This window comes from Homo sapiens, chromosome 8 (genome assembly GCF_000001405.40).
Source record: "Homo sapiens chromosome 8, GRCh38.p14 Primary Assembly".
Classification (NCBI taxonomy): Eukaryota; Metazoa; Chordata; class Mammalia; order Primates; family Hominidae; genus Homo; species Homo sapiens.
In genome coordinates, this window is record NC_000008.11 from 12,582,472 (window position 1) to 12,597,350 (window position 14,879).

At 48.0% G+C, this 14,879-nt stretch overlaps 1 long non-coding RNA gene across 1 annotated transcript in view, besides 4 other annotated features; it reads right to left on the bottom strand.

Annotated features, from left to right (window-relative positions):
* Nucleotides 1-14,879, bottom strand: part of LOC729732 (uncharacterized) — a 128,533-nt gene that overhangs the window by 45,393 nt on the left and 68,261 nt on the right. The window lies entirely within an intron of this gene.
* Nucleotides 5,615-6,345: an enhancer, noted in NCBI's record as "NANOG-H3K27ac-H3K4me1 hESC enhancer chr8:12445595-12446325 (GRCh37/hg19 assembly coordinates)". NCBI's record gives its function as "activates a minimal SCP1, AML or CMV promoter by ChIP-STARR-seq in naive and primed H9 embryonic stem cells {active_cell/tissue: H9 hESC(naive and primed)}" and the evidence as "EXISTENCE:reporter gene assay evidence [ECO:0000049][PMID:30033119]".
* Nucleotides 6,346-7,076: an enhancer, noted in NCBI's record as "NANOG-H3K27ac-H3K4me1 hESC enhancer chr8:12446326-12447056 (GRCh37/hg19 assembly coordinates)". NCBI's record gives its function as "activates a minimal SCP1, AML or CMV promoter by ChIP-STARR-seq in naive and primed H9 embryonic stem cells {active_cell/tissue: H9 hESC(naive and primed)}" and the evidence as "EXISTENCE:reporter gene assay evidence [ECO:0000049][PMID:30033119]".
* Nucleotides 7,077-7,806: an enhancer, noted in NCBI's record as "H3K27ac-H3K4me1 hESC enhancer chr8:12447057-12447786 (GRCh37/hg19 assembly coordinates)". NCBI's record gives its function as "activates a minimal SCP1, AML or CMV promoter by ChIP-STARR-seq in naive H9 embryonic stem cells {active_cell/tissue: H9 hESC(naive)}" and the evidence as "EXISTENCE:reporter gene assay evidence [ECO:0000049][PMID:30033119]".
* Nucleotides 8,872-9,458: an enhancer, noted in NCBI's record as "H3K27ac-H3K4me1 hESC enhancer chr8:12448852-12449438 (GRCh37/hg19 assembly coordinates)". NCBI's record gives its function as "activates a minimal SCP1, AML or CMV promoter by ChIP-STARR-seq in primed H9 embryonic stem cells {active_cell/tissue: H9 hESC(primed)}" and the evidence as "EXISTENCE:reporter gene assay evidence [ECO:0000049][PMID:30033119]".

Genomic DNA, 14,879 nt, shown 5'->3' on the forward strand with positions numbered 1-14,879 from the left:
ATTCATTCATGACGATGGGCTTTATTGGGATCAGAGCCAGCCCTGGGAATATTTGAACCCGCGCTGAAAGTCACCCCTTCCTCCCCACAGGAGGGGGCTAACATTAAGGAGCAGGGACCAGATGGGAAATGGAGTGTCCTTTTATTATGAGACCACAGTGAGAGACTTTTTTTTTTTCCAGAGTCTTGTTCTTGCCACCCAGGCTGGCGTCCAGTGGTGCAATCTCAGCTCACTGCAACTTCTGCCTCCCGGGTTCAAGTGATTCTCCTGCCTCAGCCTCCCGAATAGCTGGGACTATAGGCACCCGCCACCACACCTGACTAATTTTCGTATTTTTAATAGAGACAGGGTTTCACCATGTTGGTCAGGATGGTCTTGATCTCTTGACCTCATGATCCGCCTACCTTGGCCTCCCAAAGTGCTGGGATTACAGATGTGAGCCACCACGCCTAGCCTCAGACTTTCAAGTAAAGCCACAATGGACCACAGAGCTTAGACATCAGGGCTAACATGGAATCTCTGTCATTAAATCTTGAGATCTTACTATCTTTGGTCAAAGAAAAAAATAATCACAAATGACATTTTGAGGACAAGACATCTGAATGTAAAGTTGATCTTAGAGGATATTAAGGAATTACTGGTAATTTGATTAGGTATGACAATGATCATATAAAAAGTGCCCTCATGTTTTTAGAGGGAAAGTAAATTACGTAGGGATGAATATCAGGATGCAATTACATAACTACTGTCAACTATTTTGTAAATACTTCAGAAAAACAAATGAAGTAAATATTGCAAATGTTAATAGTTTTTAAATCTATGTGATGGGTATATGATAGCTCATTAAACTGGTGTCTCTACTTTTATGTTTATTGAAAAGTTTTTGTAATAATAATAAAAAAAAAACCTTGGCCAGGCACAGCAGCTCATGCCTGTAATCTCAGCAGTTTGGGAGGCCGAGGTGGATGGAGGACTGCTTGAGCCCAGCAGTTTGAGACCAGCCTAGGCAACATGGTGAAACCTCATCTCTACAAAAAATAGACAAATTAGTCAGGCATGGTGGTGTGCATCTGCAGTCCCAGCTACTCAGGAGGCTGAGGTGGGAGGATCACCTGAGCCCAGAAGGTCAAGGCTGCAGTGAGCCAAGGTCACGCCACTGCACTTCAGCCTGGGCGACAGACCCTGTCTCAAACAAACAAGCAAACAAAAACCCTCTTGATCCCATTTCCCAAAAAACGATTTTTTTGAGATCTTATCATCTCCTGGCTTGGTGCAGAGTACAGGAAATCGAGACAAAGTACAACACACAAGGAATAAGGAGGGAGGGAAGCGTGGGGGAGGCTGACATCGTGGACTCTCCCAGCTCAGTCGACCCATGCGCCTTCCTTCATGGAAGAAAGGAATGGAAGATGAATCATGCCTTCAGCACAGAGAGACCTTCCTCACTAGTAAATGCGTCTCCAGAAATGTCCAAGAACTCAGTGCCAGAGCCAGGCTGGCTGCATGAGAATCACCTGCGAGCTTTTGCAAACATAGGCCCCTACTGGCTCCAAATGTATTCGTCTCTTGGAGAGGAGGAGAGAGGCAGAACAAGGAAAAGGATGGGAAGAAACCAGCCTTGTGCACAGGAGGATGCTGGGATTCCTCCTGCAAGTTTAGCGCAATGCAGCCTATTTTACAAGGTCACAGAAGCTCAGAGAGGTAAACCTGCCCAGGTTCTCATAGCTTGTAAGTGACAAAACAAAACCCGCCCAAGTCTCTGTCTCTAGAGATATTTCCACTTGCTTTAACTCTGGAGCTGTCTTAGTTGTAAAGACAGATTCCACTCCTCACTCACTTTTGTTTGCAGATATTGCCTAAGGTCCCTTGTGAATATTTAGGTCAGGGTTTTTTTTTTTTTTTTTTGAGTTTTTTTTTTGTTTGTTTGTTTGTTTTTAAAAAAGCAATCTCGTAGAAAGAACCCAAAGTGGCTCCCCATTTTAAGACTCTGCAAACAGGGAGACCAGAGTCTGGAGTCCCGGTCTGATTTCCACACTTTCCTTAGATTTCCCTGTGTGTAAAATCCAACAACAATCTTTGACAAATTGCCTCCCCCAGGGGAGAGATGGAGGAAGTGTTAACTTTGCTTTTTTTTTTCTTTTTTCAGACAGAGCCTCACTCTGTTGCCCAGGATGGAGTGCAGTGGTGCAATTTTGGCTCACTGCAACCTCTGCCTCCTGAGCTCAAATGATTCTTGTGCCTCAGCCTCCCGAATAGGTGGGACTACAGACAGATGCCACCACACCTGGCTAATTTTTGTATTTTTAGTAGAGATGTGGTTTCGCATATTGGCCAGGCTGGTATCGAACTCCTGGCCTCAAATGATCCACCCCGCTCAGCCTCTCAAAGTGCTAGAACTACTATAGTCATGAGCCACCATGCCCAGCCACTTTGCTATTTTTTTAATAGACAGCTTCGAGGTCCAGTATGATTTCACAGATTAGGAAACATCACAGGCAAAGAAGAACACTTTGCATTCAAATAGTAGAATGTTTTTGTTTTCAAGGAGCTCTCACCTGCCATCTAATCTTGTCTTCCTAGCAGTCCTGGGAGAGAAGCAGATGTGGTTTCCAATCCCACTTTCCAAAAGAGGAGACTGAGGCAGAGGCTTTGCAGATACACAGAGGACATGTGAGGACAGGTGAAGGTCATGATCATTGTCAGCGCCCTCCCCCAACTTGACATTCCCAGACCTAGTGGACTTCCAAACAGAGGAGACAGAAGAACTGATCAATCAATTCTGCCATGGGTGCCAGGACCCAATTTTTCCCTGGCTAACTCGGTCACATCCTGTCTGGGATCTCCAACTACTACCCATCCCACAAGTCTCAGCTAAAACAGGAATTCAATGGGGAACATTTTTCTGAGGCTCCAGGATTGGGCCAGGCCCTCTCCATGGCTGTCTGACCTTCCCCTAATGCAGAACTTAGCGTCTGTATGTCACTATTGGTTCAAACATGTGCCTTTCATATGCTCTCCACGTTATCTGCAGCATCTGCCAAGAATAATAATGAATGGTAAAACCTAATCTCTATTGAGTGCCGATGATGCACTTTTAATGTGACATCTTATTTAATCCTCACTATATCTGCAAGAGTAGAAGCTATTAATAGCCAATTTTCAGATAAGAAAGTCAAAGCACGGTTTCTATAACTTACCCAAGCAGCTAGCTAGGAGGCAGCTCAGTTTGAGCCCAGGGAATCATATTCCAGAGATCATGTTCTCAATTACTAGAGCAGGTACCTCCCCAGAATCTAGCAGGTGGTTAACGAGTCTTTGTGGAATAAATGAACAGAAGGACAACAGATGGATGGATACATAGGTGGATGGGTGGATAATGGGTGGGCGGGCAGGTGGACGAATGAATGGATGGTTGAGTCAGTGAAGGGATGGCTGAGTGGGTGGAGAAATGGATGAGTGGGTGAGGGGTTGGAGGGATAAATGGATGGATGGGTGGGTGGATAGATGGTTAGATGAGTAAACGGGTGGATAGATGCATGGGTGAGTGGATGGATAGAGGGTGGTGGTGGATGGGTAGGTGGATGATAGCTGGGTGTATAAGAGAGTGGGTTGGATGGATAGATTGGTGGGTGGGTAGATAGATGGGTGGGTGGTTGGATGTATGCATGTCTGGATGGATGGATGGATGGACGGATGGAAGGAAGGAAGGGTGGATGGATGGATGGACAGATGAACAGATAGACTTGGGCATTTATTCGGGGTCCTCCAAAGAATTGAGTTATTTCCCTAGGGTGTCTCATCACCTGCAGGTAGGTGGGCAAGGGGGCTTGCCTCTGTAATACTCATGATTATGGGTAGTCCTCAGCCTTAGTCACCACTCTCAGAACACTTTATTGACTAGGAAAGTCAAAACTGGCATTGATAACTAACGGAAATTGCAGCTAAAACTAACAGAAGATGTTGAGCTGATGACAGCTGGGCAACCAATAATCAATAACTTGGCTGTGTCATGTTACTGCCATGCTGGGCAGGTAGAACCAGGGGTTCCTTAATCCCTCCTTCACATTAAGGATGCTTATCAAGACTTCCCCAACCATGGAGACAGGGATATTATCAAATACTTGCAGTTCACCCCAAAAGGCTCACCCTCTTCGTTCCACCTGCACATGACCTTCAGCTCAAAGACATTTCCAGTCCTCCAGGTCAGCCCTTCTTCCAGCCTTTGAATTAACCCTGATGACTGCCTGCCCATTAAGTGTCTTCACCATTCATCACATAGCCTTTTCCAAGGCTTTCCTTCAATCCAGCCCTCACTAAACGCTGGAACTGTTGTTGACAAAATCCAGAACAAGCTGGGTGGGGGATGCAGTTGGGAAGCAGGCTGTAGTAATGGGGAAAAATTCTAAGCAATCTCGAACACAGAAAATAAACTGAACAGGTAAGAGAGAGGCAGTCAAGAGAAGAAGTGTGAATTTTGCATAACTGAAGCTGAAGAAGATCGGGGGGCATGGCAGACCACAAGATAAATATGATAAAGACTCCTTTTTAAAAAAGTATAAACATCCACCCTTTCCTACTGACAACTGTGCTTCAAATATTGCTAAGGTCTTTACTAAAGGTGAGTCAGAAAAACTGGGTATTTTATGCAATACAGTAAGAAGGCCCATAGGCAAGTATGTTCCTGACACCACCTTCTAGGATAAGCCCTGAGATTCTGGTTACTCCTATCCTAAACTTGTCTCTCACTCCTGCTGTTGGAGAGCTACCATGAGAGAAAAACCATAGTGAAGTGGTTAAGAGTGTGCACCCAGCGACTGGCCAGATGACCACAAACCATCACTATCTAATACTGAGCAAGTTACATAATGTTTCCGAGCCTCAACTTTCTCATCTGTAAAATGGGTATGTTGTCATTCATTAATCAAATTCTAGGTGAGCATATACTAAACACCAGAGACACAAATGAGAATCAGAACAGGCACGTCCCTGGCCCTTATGGTGACCACAGTCTTGAAGGGGAAGGATGACACGCAGAGAAATAGGAAGCCATAGCTGAGCTAGTTTCTACCACAGAGAGGCAGCTGGTGTCATGAAAGCAGATAACAGGGGGTTACTGGGACTGAGTCAGTGTGGCCAGAAGTCCCTGAGGATATAGTGACTCCAGTGTCAGATGAGACCGTGACCAGGTGAAGAAGCAGGGAGAGGGAAAATTTTTCAGGCAGAAAGAGCAGGATGTGCAAAGACCCTATGGCAGAAAGAAAACAAAGGAAGTGCAAGAGCCTGAAAGAGGCCAGAGAGAGCAAGTGAAAATATGGATAATCACAGCACCGACCTCATACAGGACTTGCAAGAAATCGAGACCCTGTCTGTAACAGATTCAGCAATGACTAAATAGAAACTATCTCCTAAAAGCACACGATGAGGTTCCTTGGTGGTATTTCCCACATGGGGCTGCCATGCATTCAGAGGCCAAGTTCAACCTGTCTGTAGACAACCTCCAAGCCAGCTGGACACACATACACCCTCAGGCTCAGGATACCCAGGACAGAGTCCTGGATGCTTGAAGTCATGATAAGTATGCAGAATGACACAGAATTCCAGCCAGGCGTGGTGGCTCATGCCTGTAATCCCAGCACTTTGGGAGGCCGAGGTGGATCACCTGAGGTCAGGAGTTCAAGACCAACCTGACCAACATGGTGAAACTCCCTCTCTACTAAAAATACAAAAAAAAATTTAGCTGGGTGTGGTTGTGGGTGCCTGTAGTCCCAGCTACTCAGGAGGCTGAGGCAGGAGAATCGTTTGAACCAAGGAGGCAGAGACTGCAGTGAACTGAGATTGCACCATTGCACTCCAGCCTGCGCAACAAAAGTGAAACTCCGTCTCAAAAAAGAAAAAAAAATGACACCGAATTTGCTAAAGGGGGAGAAAGGGCTTTCTTCCAAAGCTGGGCCTGGTTTCTACAGAGAGTCTTTCACATGAAAATTAAGCAGCTCTTTGCAAGCACCTCAGAGGAGAACCCCTCACCCTGATGAATCAGGCACAGGGGCGGATCCAAGACAACTGGCTGCGTGCATGTGAACAAGCCTATGGTGGAAAGGCAGTGCTTTATTGTTTGGGGTGGTTTAATCACCAGGAGGGAGAAGCTTCTAAAGCAGCATTCAGAGGTGGCTGTTGCCTGGGTTTTCTGGAAGGGGGAGGTGGTGAGGATGAGGGCTTCCCTTTCATCTGCAGGCCCCTTGCAGAAGGAGCTGGGGAAAGCTTTGCAACCATCTGCACACTTTGCCATCTTGTCTGGCTGGGATGCCGAGCTCCAGATGGGGGCAGATGGGATAGCTCTTGCCACCGTATTTGGAGAGAGATGTCAGGGAAGTCAGCCCCCGTGGAGAAGACAGGAGCAGGCAAGTGCTGGACAGTGCTGCCCAGGTCCCTGGGGCTGAAGTGTCCAACCCCACAGCCTCTAGGTGCCACTAAAGCAGCCCAAGAGGATCTTCTCTGTCCATCTCCATCCTGGCACCTACAGACACTTGGAGAGAGTCCTTCACATGGGAACTCACAAATGCACACTGATAACCCCCACACGGAACTCTCATACGTAGCAAGTGAAAAGAGAGGATGCCAGTTTAACTTGAATTTCAGATAAACAACAAATCATTTTTTAGGGTAAGCAGGTCCCAAATATTGCATGGGATATATTTGCACCAAAAAAAAAAAAAAAAAAAAAAAAAGGTTAATGAGAAGTTCAGGTTTAATTGGACCTCCTGTATTTTACCTGGCAAGCCTAACCCTGCATAAACACAACCTCGAGCTTGAAACTCACAGAGAAGACACGGCCGTGCTCACACACGTGCACAAACCCATATGCCTTACAGAGTCAACGGCTGTGATGAGGGTCCAGACCCTTGCACACTTTTCTGTCCTCTGTCTGGGCTCAGAGTAAACAGGGGGTCACCTGGAATCCACGTCTAAGCTGGGCTTGGAGGTGTCCTAATGAAGCAGGATGCTGTCCTGCAATTCCCCAGCTCAGCTAGGACTGTAGCCAGGCCTAGCTTCCAGTCTCGGGCCTAGAACAAACAGCACAGTCCCAGACCTTGGCAAGAAGGTTTCATCTCAAAGGCCACTGGTGCAGGAACTATTAGAAGCCCCACTTCTTTCCTCTGTTTCTGCTGCCATTGCCCCAGTCTCTGACCCTGACACTCAATCACTCTATAAACACAGCAGGTACTAGGGGTGGCTCTGGGCTCGGCACTAAAGACATTGACCCTGGTAAAGCCACAGTCTAGCAATGACAGTCAACCACCTATCAGCAACAGCCCTGCCCCACACGTGCTGACTGCGCACAAGGCCGGCGCTATGAACGTGCTCTCAACAGTGATCTCACTGAAACCTCATGGCAGCTCTAGGATGCAGACAGTAGCATCACATTATCCCCATTTTACTTTTGAGGAAACTGAGGCCTGAAGAAGGCAAATGCAGGCCTCGAGATTTGCAGTAACATTGCCAGGAATGTTTGAGAAAGCAAACTTCTCCAGAGTGAGGCAGTCTGCCAGAGCTCAGAAGCCAGTGTCCCTGTTAGCAGGGGCTGGGGGCACTGTGGGGTGGAGGCAGACAAGCAGGTAGGGGCTGGACCCCCCAGGACACCAGGGTGCAGACTGGTGTGAGTAAAAGAAAGAGGGGCTGTCATGCCATCATCTGCAGAAGATGATGTCTACAGAGGACAGTACCATGTGAGCCCTTGGGAAGCTGGATGACCGGATGGAGTTTTGCACAGGATGCAAATTGAGCACAGATCCCCCTCTGACCTAGACAGCCCACCTCCAGGAACATCTCACAGAAATGCAGGCACAGAGCACCAAGTGATATGTGTGAGGAAATTCATCAGAACACCGTCTGTGATTGGGAAAAGGCGGAAACCCTCCAAAGACGTCTCGGTGCAGGGCTGGTTAAACGAAGCGTGGTGCATCCACACGTCAGAATAACTGCAGGGAGAAGAAGGTGGTACCCAGGTTCCAACGTGAGACAATGTCAAAGACATGCTGCCTGAAAAACAGGCTTTCCAAAGAATAAATATAGCATTATTGCATTTTTACTTTTTTAAAAAGATTACAATAAACACTTATGTGCAAATACATGTGCTTGTGTGCACAGAGGAAAAAGCTGTGGACAGAAACAGAAAACCAAACACGGTGTGTTCTCACTCATAAGTGGGAGTTGAACAATGAGAACACATGGACACAGGTAGGGGAACATCACACACCGGGGCCCATCGGGGGTGGGGGACAAGGCGAGGGGGAGCGTTAGGTCAAATACCTAATGCATGCGGGGCTTAAAACCTAGATGACGGGTTGATAGGTGCAGCAAACCACCATGGCACATGTATATCTATGTAACAAACCTGCACATTCTGCACATGTATCTCAGAACGTAGAATAAAAAATAAAAATAAATCAAAGAAAAAGGTGGGGAGAGGTATACCCCAACCCTTCCCAGTGTTACCTCTGAGATGCAAGATCAAGAAAAGCAAATCAAGAGGTAGTTTTGCTTTCTGTTTTCTATATAATTTTTTTTTTTTTTTTTTGGAGACATAGTCTCGCTCTATTGCCCAGTCTGGAGTCCAGGGACACAATCTCGGCTCACTGCAACCTCCTCCTCACCGCAACCTCCTCCTCACTACAACCTCCTCCTCAGTGCAACCTCCTTCTCACTGCGACCTCCTCACTGCGACCTCCTCCTCACTGCAACCTCCTCCTCACTGCAACCTCCTACTCATTGCAACCTGCTCCTCACTACAACCTCCTCCTCACTGCAACCTCCTCCTCACTGCGACCTCCTCCTCACTGCAACCTCCTCCTTACTGCGACCTCCTCCTCACTGCAACCTCCTCCTCACTGCAACCTGCTCCTCACTACAACCTCCTCCTCACTGCAACCTCCTCCTCATTGCAACCTGCTCCTCACTGCAACCTGCTCCTTCTGGGTTCAAGGGATTCTCTTGCTTCAGCCTCCCAAATAACTAGGATTACAGGCATGCACCACCAAGCCCGACTAACTTTTGTATTTTTTGTAGAGACAGGGTTTCACTATTTTGGCCACCTGGTCTCAAACTCCTGGCCTGCCCACCTTAGCCTCCAAAAGTCCTGGGATTACAGGTGTGAGCCACCATGCCTGGCCTGCATTGCTTGAATTCTCAGACCACATGGACCCTCTCATCTGGCCCAATTGCAAGAGTCCAAGGCAGGAAAGGCAGAAGGCAGGGGCTTACCCCTCCATCAGGACAACATAGAACGGAGTCAAAAAAGGAAAACATGAATGGATCAGTCAAGAGGGCCGTGCACATGCCCTCCCAGGCACCTACACCTTGCAACTTAAGCCGACAGCCTTTCAAGCCACAGAGTCTTCCTCCCCAGAGACTAGCAAGGACACAAGCCCTGGCCAGGCCCTTCCAGGAAGATGTTCTGAGGGACCAGGTGGGGGGCAGAGTCAGGGGTGGCAGGAGGAAAGGGGGACACGAAGCCAAGGCCAGGGCACCCCATGCTTCCTGAAGGCAACTAGAACAGGGCGCCACACAGAGCCCCTGTGTACCTGTTTCTACAACAGCCTGAACACAAGGAAAAGTAAAACAAGGAAAATACACAAAACCCAGCCTCACCTGGAGCAGGTTAAATAAAGGTGTGTGAATTTTCCTCATGTCCTTTGGAATTGGAAATCCAAGCTTCCTCTTCTGTGCCTTTAAGGTCCTGGCCGCTGCCCCACAGCTCCCTTCTCTTCCCTCCTCCTCCTGTCCTATTTTTTTTTTTTTTTTTTGAGATGGAATCTTGCTCTGTTGCCCAGGCTGGAGTACAGTGGCACAATCTCAGCTCACTACAACCTCCACCTTCCGGGTTCAAGCAATTCTCGTGGCTCAGCTTCCCGAGTAGCTGGGATTATAGGTGTCACCATGTCCGGCTAATTATTGTATTTTTAGTAGAGACAGGTTTTCACCATATTGGCCAGTCTGGTCTCAAACTCCTGGCCTCAGGTGATCCGCCCACCTCGGCCTCCCAAAGTGCTGGGATTACAGATGTGAGCCACCATGCCCAACCCTCTTGTCCTAACTCTGCCATCTCTTTGCAGTCTCCCCTGAGCAGCTTTTCCTGGGCCCGCACTGCCCCCCTCCAGAGCTGCACTCTCAAACCACCCCCCAATGCCCCCTGGCCCTGGCTCCTGCCCCGGGGCTCTGATCCTCAGCTGGTGAGGTCTAGAGGGTCAGAGGGAGCCAGACTCCTTAGAGAAGCTAAGGCGGGAGACCTGTGCTGGGCTGTGGTTAAACTGCCCCCTTCCAGCTGGGGCCGAATAGAAAGTGAAAGACTGCCCCCAGAATACAGGGCTCTCAGAGGCCCTGGGGATCTGTGCTGGCAGCCAGGAGGACTGTCACCTCAGTGCAGTTGCCTGCAAGGAGGGCTGTGCAGGAAGCTGCATGTTGCTCAGAGAACAAAAAAAGGAAATTAAATGCACCATCTCCTTATTAGCATGAGCTTTTGAGGCAGACACTTAAATATGCATGCCTAGACATTGTAAAACTTGGGGGAAATGTTAATTTCAATAACGCCACTTCTTGTGCTTGCAGAAACCATTCTTTTATCTCCCTTCCTAGTCATTTGCGGGCTCCATCCCTCAGAGTGGCAGCGCCAAGACAGCCGGCCTCACTGGGTTTTGTAAGCTGTGCAAGGTGAGATCCCAAGCCCTGGCCTGGAGACCCATCTTAGGAAAATGTTAGAACAGGGCAACAAGTTGCCATTTCCTCCCTCCTTTCTCTTCCCCATACAAAAATCAGAAAGCTCCCTTGCCCAGTGCCCAGCCACAGTGAGGAAGAAACCCCACACAAAATCCTGGGTTGTGCCCCTGATACCAAAGACCTGCAAAATTGGGCCTCACCTGCTGCAACCTCAGCCCAGACTTGTGTACATTTCAAGGGTGGCTGGACTCATGGCCGCCTGGGACGTCAGAGTGTTACGAAGTCCTCTTAACCTAAGACTGTCGGGGTACAAGGATCAGCATTTTTTTCCTTTCTCTCCAGGGCCAGATGGTAAATAGTTGAGCTTTGCAGGCCATAGGTCTCTGTCCCAAATATTCAACTCTCCATTGTAGCAGGAAAGCAGCCACAGACAATAGGTACTGAAATGGGTGTGGCTGTGTTCCAATAAAACTTTATTTGTGTGAACAGGCAGGGGGCTGGTTCTGGCCTGTGGGCTATAGCCTGCCTCCTCTGCTACAGGGTGATCTCCAAGGACCCATCCATCTTGTAGACCAGCAGCTGACACACAGGAGCTGCTCAGATACTTGAAGGAGGAATGGAGAAGGCAAACAGCCCCCAGTGTGCAGATGTGAGGGTCTCCCAGCGGCAGCATCCTTCGCCATCTCATGCCGAGGGACAAAGCCAGAGCAGGGCTCTCCACCAAGGCTGGGTTCTCCTCCAAGGAAATGTGATAACAGGACAGAAAGCATCGTGGAAGGATAGGGGCTTTGGAGTCCCACAAACCACAGTTTGCAGGACCAGGAGCATCCTGCACTTCCTTGCACACATCCTGGGTGGGTACTGGAGCATCTAGACTTAGAGTGAATCTTCTCCCCATCCTCCCCCAACTGGCCTCCATTAAACTTCCAGCAACAATGTGGTGTATGTACACAATGGAATACTATTCAGCCTTCAAAAAGAAGGAAATCCTGCCATTTGAGACAACATGGATGAGCCTGGAGGATATTATGTTAAGTGAAATAAGCCAGGCACAGAACGACAAATACCACATGATCTCACTTACATGTGGAATCTAAAAAAGTTGAACTCGGCCAGGCATGGTGGCTCACGCCTGTAATCACAGCACTTTGGGAGGCTGAGACCAGCAGATTGCTTGAGCCCAGGAGTTCGAGACCAGCCTGCATAACATAGCAATACCCCATCTCTACAAAAAATACAAAAATTAGTGGAGCATGGTAGTGCATGCCTGTACTCCCAGATACTCAGGAGGCTGAGGTGGAAGGATTGATTGAACTTGGGACGTCAAGGCTGCAGTGAGCCATGATCACAACCCTGCACTACAGCCTGGGCAATAGAAGGAGATTTTCTCAAAAAAAAGAAAAAAAAAAAGAGAAGAAAAAAGTTGAATTCACAGAAGCAGAGTAGAATGATGGTTGCCAGGGTGGGGAAGTGGGCAGATGCCAAAGGACACAGAATGTCATTTTTAGAGAAGAAGAATAAGTTCAGGAGATCCATGGGACAACAAGGTACCTATAGTTAATAACAACATATCATACACTTGGAAATCACTAAGAGAGTAGATTGTTTAAGTGTTCTCACCCCAAAAAGTAAGTCTGGGAGGTGATATGTTATTTAGCTTGATTTAGCCATTTCATAATGTATACATACCTCAATCACATCATGTTGTATACCCTCTTGTACATAATTTTTGCCAATTCAATAAATTCAACAACTCCAAAAAACAAGACATTCTCTTTACAAAAATAATTATTAAAAATAAAATTCAGAATTCTATTTTATTTATTTATTTATTTTTGAAACAGAGTCTCGCTCTGTCACCCAGGCTGGCTGAAGTACAGTGGTTCAATCTCGGCTGACTGCAACCTCTGTCTCCCAGGTGCAAACGATTCTCCTGCCTCAGCCTCCCAAGTAGCTGGGATTGCAGGTGTGTGCCATCACACCTGGCTAATTTCTGTATTTTTAGTAGAGACAGTTTTGCCATGTTGACCAGGCTGGTCTCGAACTCCTGACCTTAGGTGATCCGCCAGCCTCGGCCTCCCAAAGTGCTGGGATTACAGGTGTGAACCACTGCACCTGGACAGAATATAAAAGATTGTTTAATTCAACTAAAACATTAAAACACAGATTATTTCTATAAGTGGTAATTGTTCTAACATGTTTTGGTCAAAATAGTCTCCTTACTTATCCACAATTAAATGGTTAATTGATATTTGATTAGATTTTTATAAAGTTTTCAAATCATGATTGACTTTTCCAATGTACAGTAAAATGTGTTTGAAAATATTGCATAAAAATTAATATTTAAAAATGGTCAGGCATGGTGGCTCATGCCTGTAATCCCAGCACTTTGGGAGGTCAAGGTGGGCCGATCACTTGAGGTCAGGAGTTTGAGACCAGCCTGGCCAAACCTCATCTCTACTAAAAATACAAAAGTTAGTCAGGCATGGTGGTACGCACCTGCATTCCCAGCTACTTGGGAAGCTGAGGCAGGAGAATCGCTTGAACCTGGGAGGTGGGCTCCCCAGGCTTAAAGCAAAACCTCCATCTTGTCTGTCTCCACTCTCATCCCAGGCAATCGCGGTCATTTCCACAGCCTCAACCACTGTCTACCTGGGATGCCTCCCATGCCCGGGTCGCCAGCCCAAACCTGCCTTCCTAGCCCCAGACCCATCTGTCCTGGCACACATTGCCCCCTGGGTCCCAACAACCTCAGCCAATGAGACCAATGCCAACTTCCTGTCCTTGCCTGACACTGTCAGCCCTGAGATCAGACTTGACCATTCACCTCCAGTACCTGATAGGTCTGTCAGTCCTTTGGAACATATCCCACGAACATTCCCCAAACCAGGCACCGGACTCCACACATCAACACCGTCACGTGAGTCACCAGCATCCCTGGCAGGGACCCCTGTCCCAGCCTCCAACTCATCTCCTTCCTGTCCCTTGAGTTCTGTGTCACATTCCAGAGGCCACAAGAAGAAAAATGACCACCTTAATGAAATTAAAAGAATTGAGAAGACATTTCTCTATGGTCCAAAATCTTTCCAACTAAGAAACACATATCAAGATCCAGCCTGCTGGCCCTGTGGTTAAATGTTCCTGAAATAATTAAAGCCCAGGGCAACACAGCCCCCACTCCACAAGAACTCCCAGCACAGTAAGACTTGCTTCTCTACAGGGGCTTGAAATGTCCAGTGTGTACCCTGCCCCTCTCTGTCATAGCTAACAGGAATGTGCTCCGTGTCTTCTTCCTGCTCAAAGGACCGTCCACCAACCTGCGCAGGCAGCACTTTCGGCAAGGGGAGGATGGGAGAACATCCTACCATTTCCCACTTACGCACTGCATTCATCAGGAGCCTGCCTCACAAATTACAAGAGCACTACGGCAGACCCACGATGTTCCAGCGGATGGCCATGTCTTCATGTCAACTTGAAAGATCATTGCCAGGGAAATATCTATATCTCGGCAGAGAGAGCTTCAGCCTGTGTAGTCCAGCTGTGCTCAAATGGAAATCAAAAAAATCAGATGTTGGTCAAAACACCCTGTCTCAGGGAGCTGGCTCTGCAGGTCCCCAGTGTGAGAGTGAACTGGGTGGGCCACCTGACCTGCCTACCCACATCCCGGCCTCCTGGAATCCTGAACCCTGAGAACCAGGGGGATGTGGTGGGGAGCAGGCAAGTCTTGTGCAGAAAGCCAAGATGCCACCCAAATCCACTCTGCAGTCTAGGTGAGCGATATTCTGGTCTGCACCACACCAGTGCACGAGGGGATGGAGGATGGAGTCTAGACAAGCCAAATGTAAAAAGATATTGTCCACGTATTTTGTGCTTTGTCTGTGTTACAATGCGATGACAAGCCCAGTGTGCTGGCTCACACCTGTGATCTCAGCAACTTGGGAGGCCGAGGCAGGCGGATCACCTGAGGTTAGAAGTTTGAGATCAGCCTGCCCAACATGGTGAAACCCCATCTCTACTAAAAATACAAAAATTAGCCAGGTGTGGTGGTGGGCACCTGTAATCCCAGCTACTCTGGAGGCTGAGGCAGGAGAATCACTTGAGCCCAGGACGTGGAGGTTGCAGTGAGCAGAGATCATGCCACTGTACTCCAGCCTGGGCAACAGAGTAAG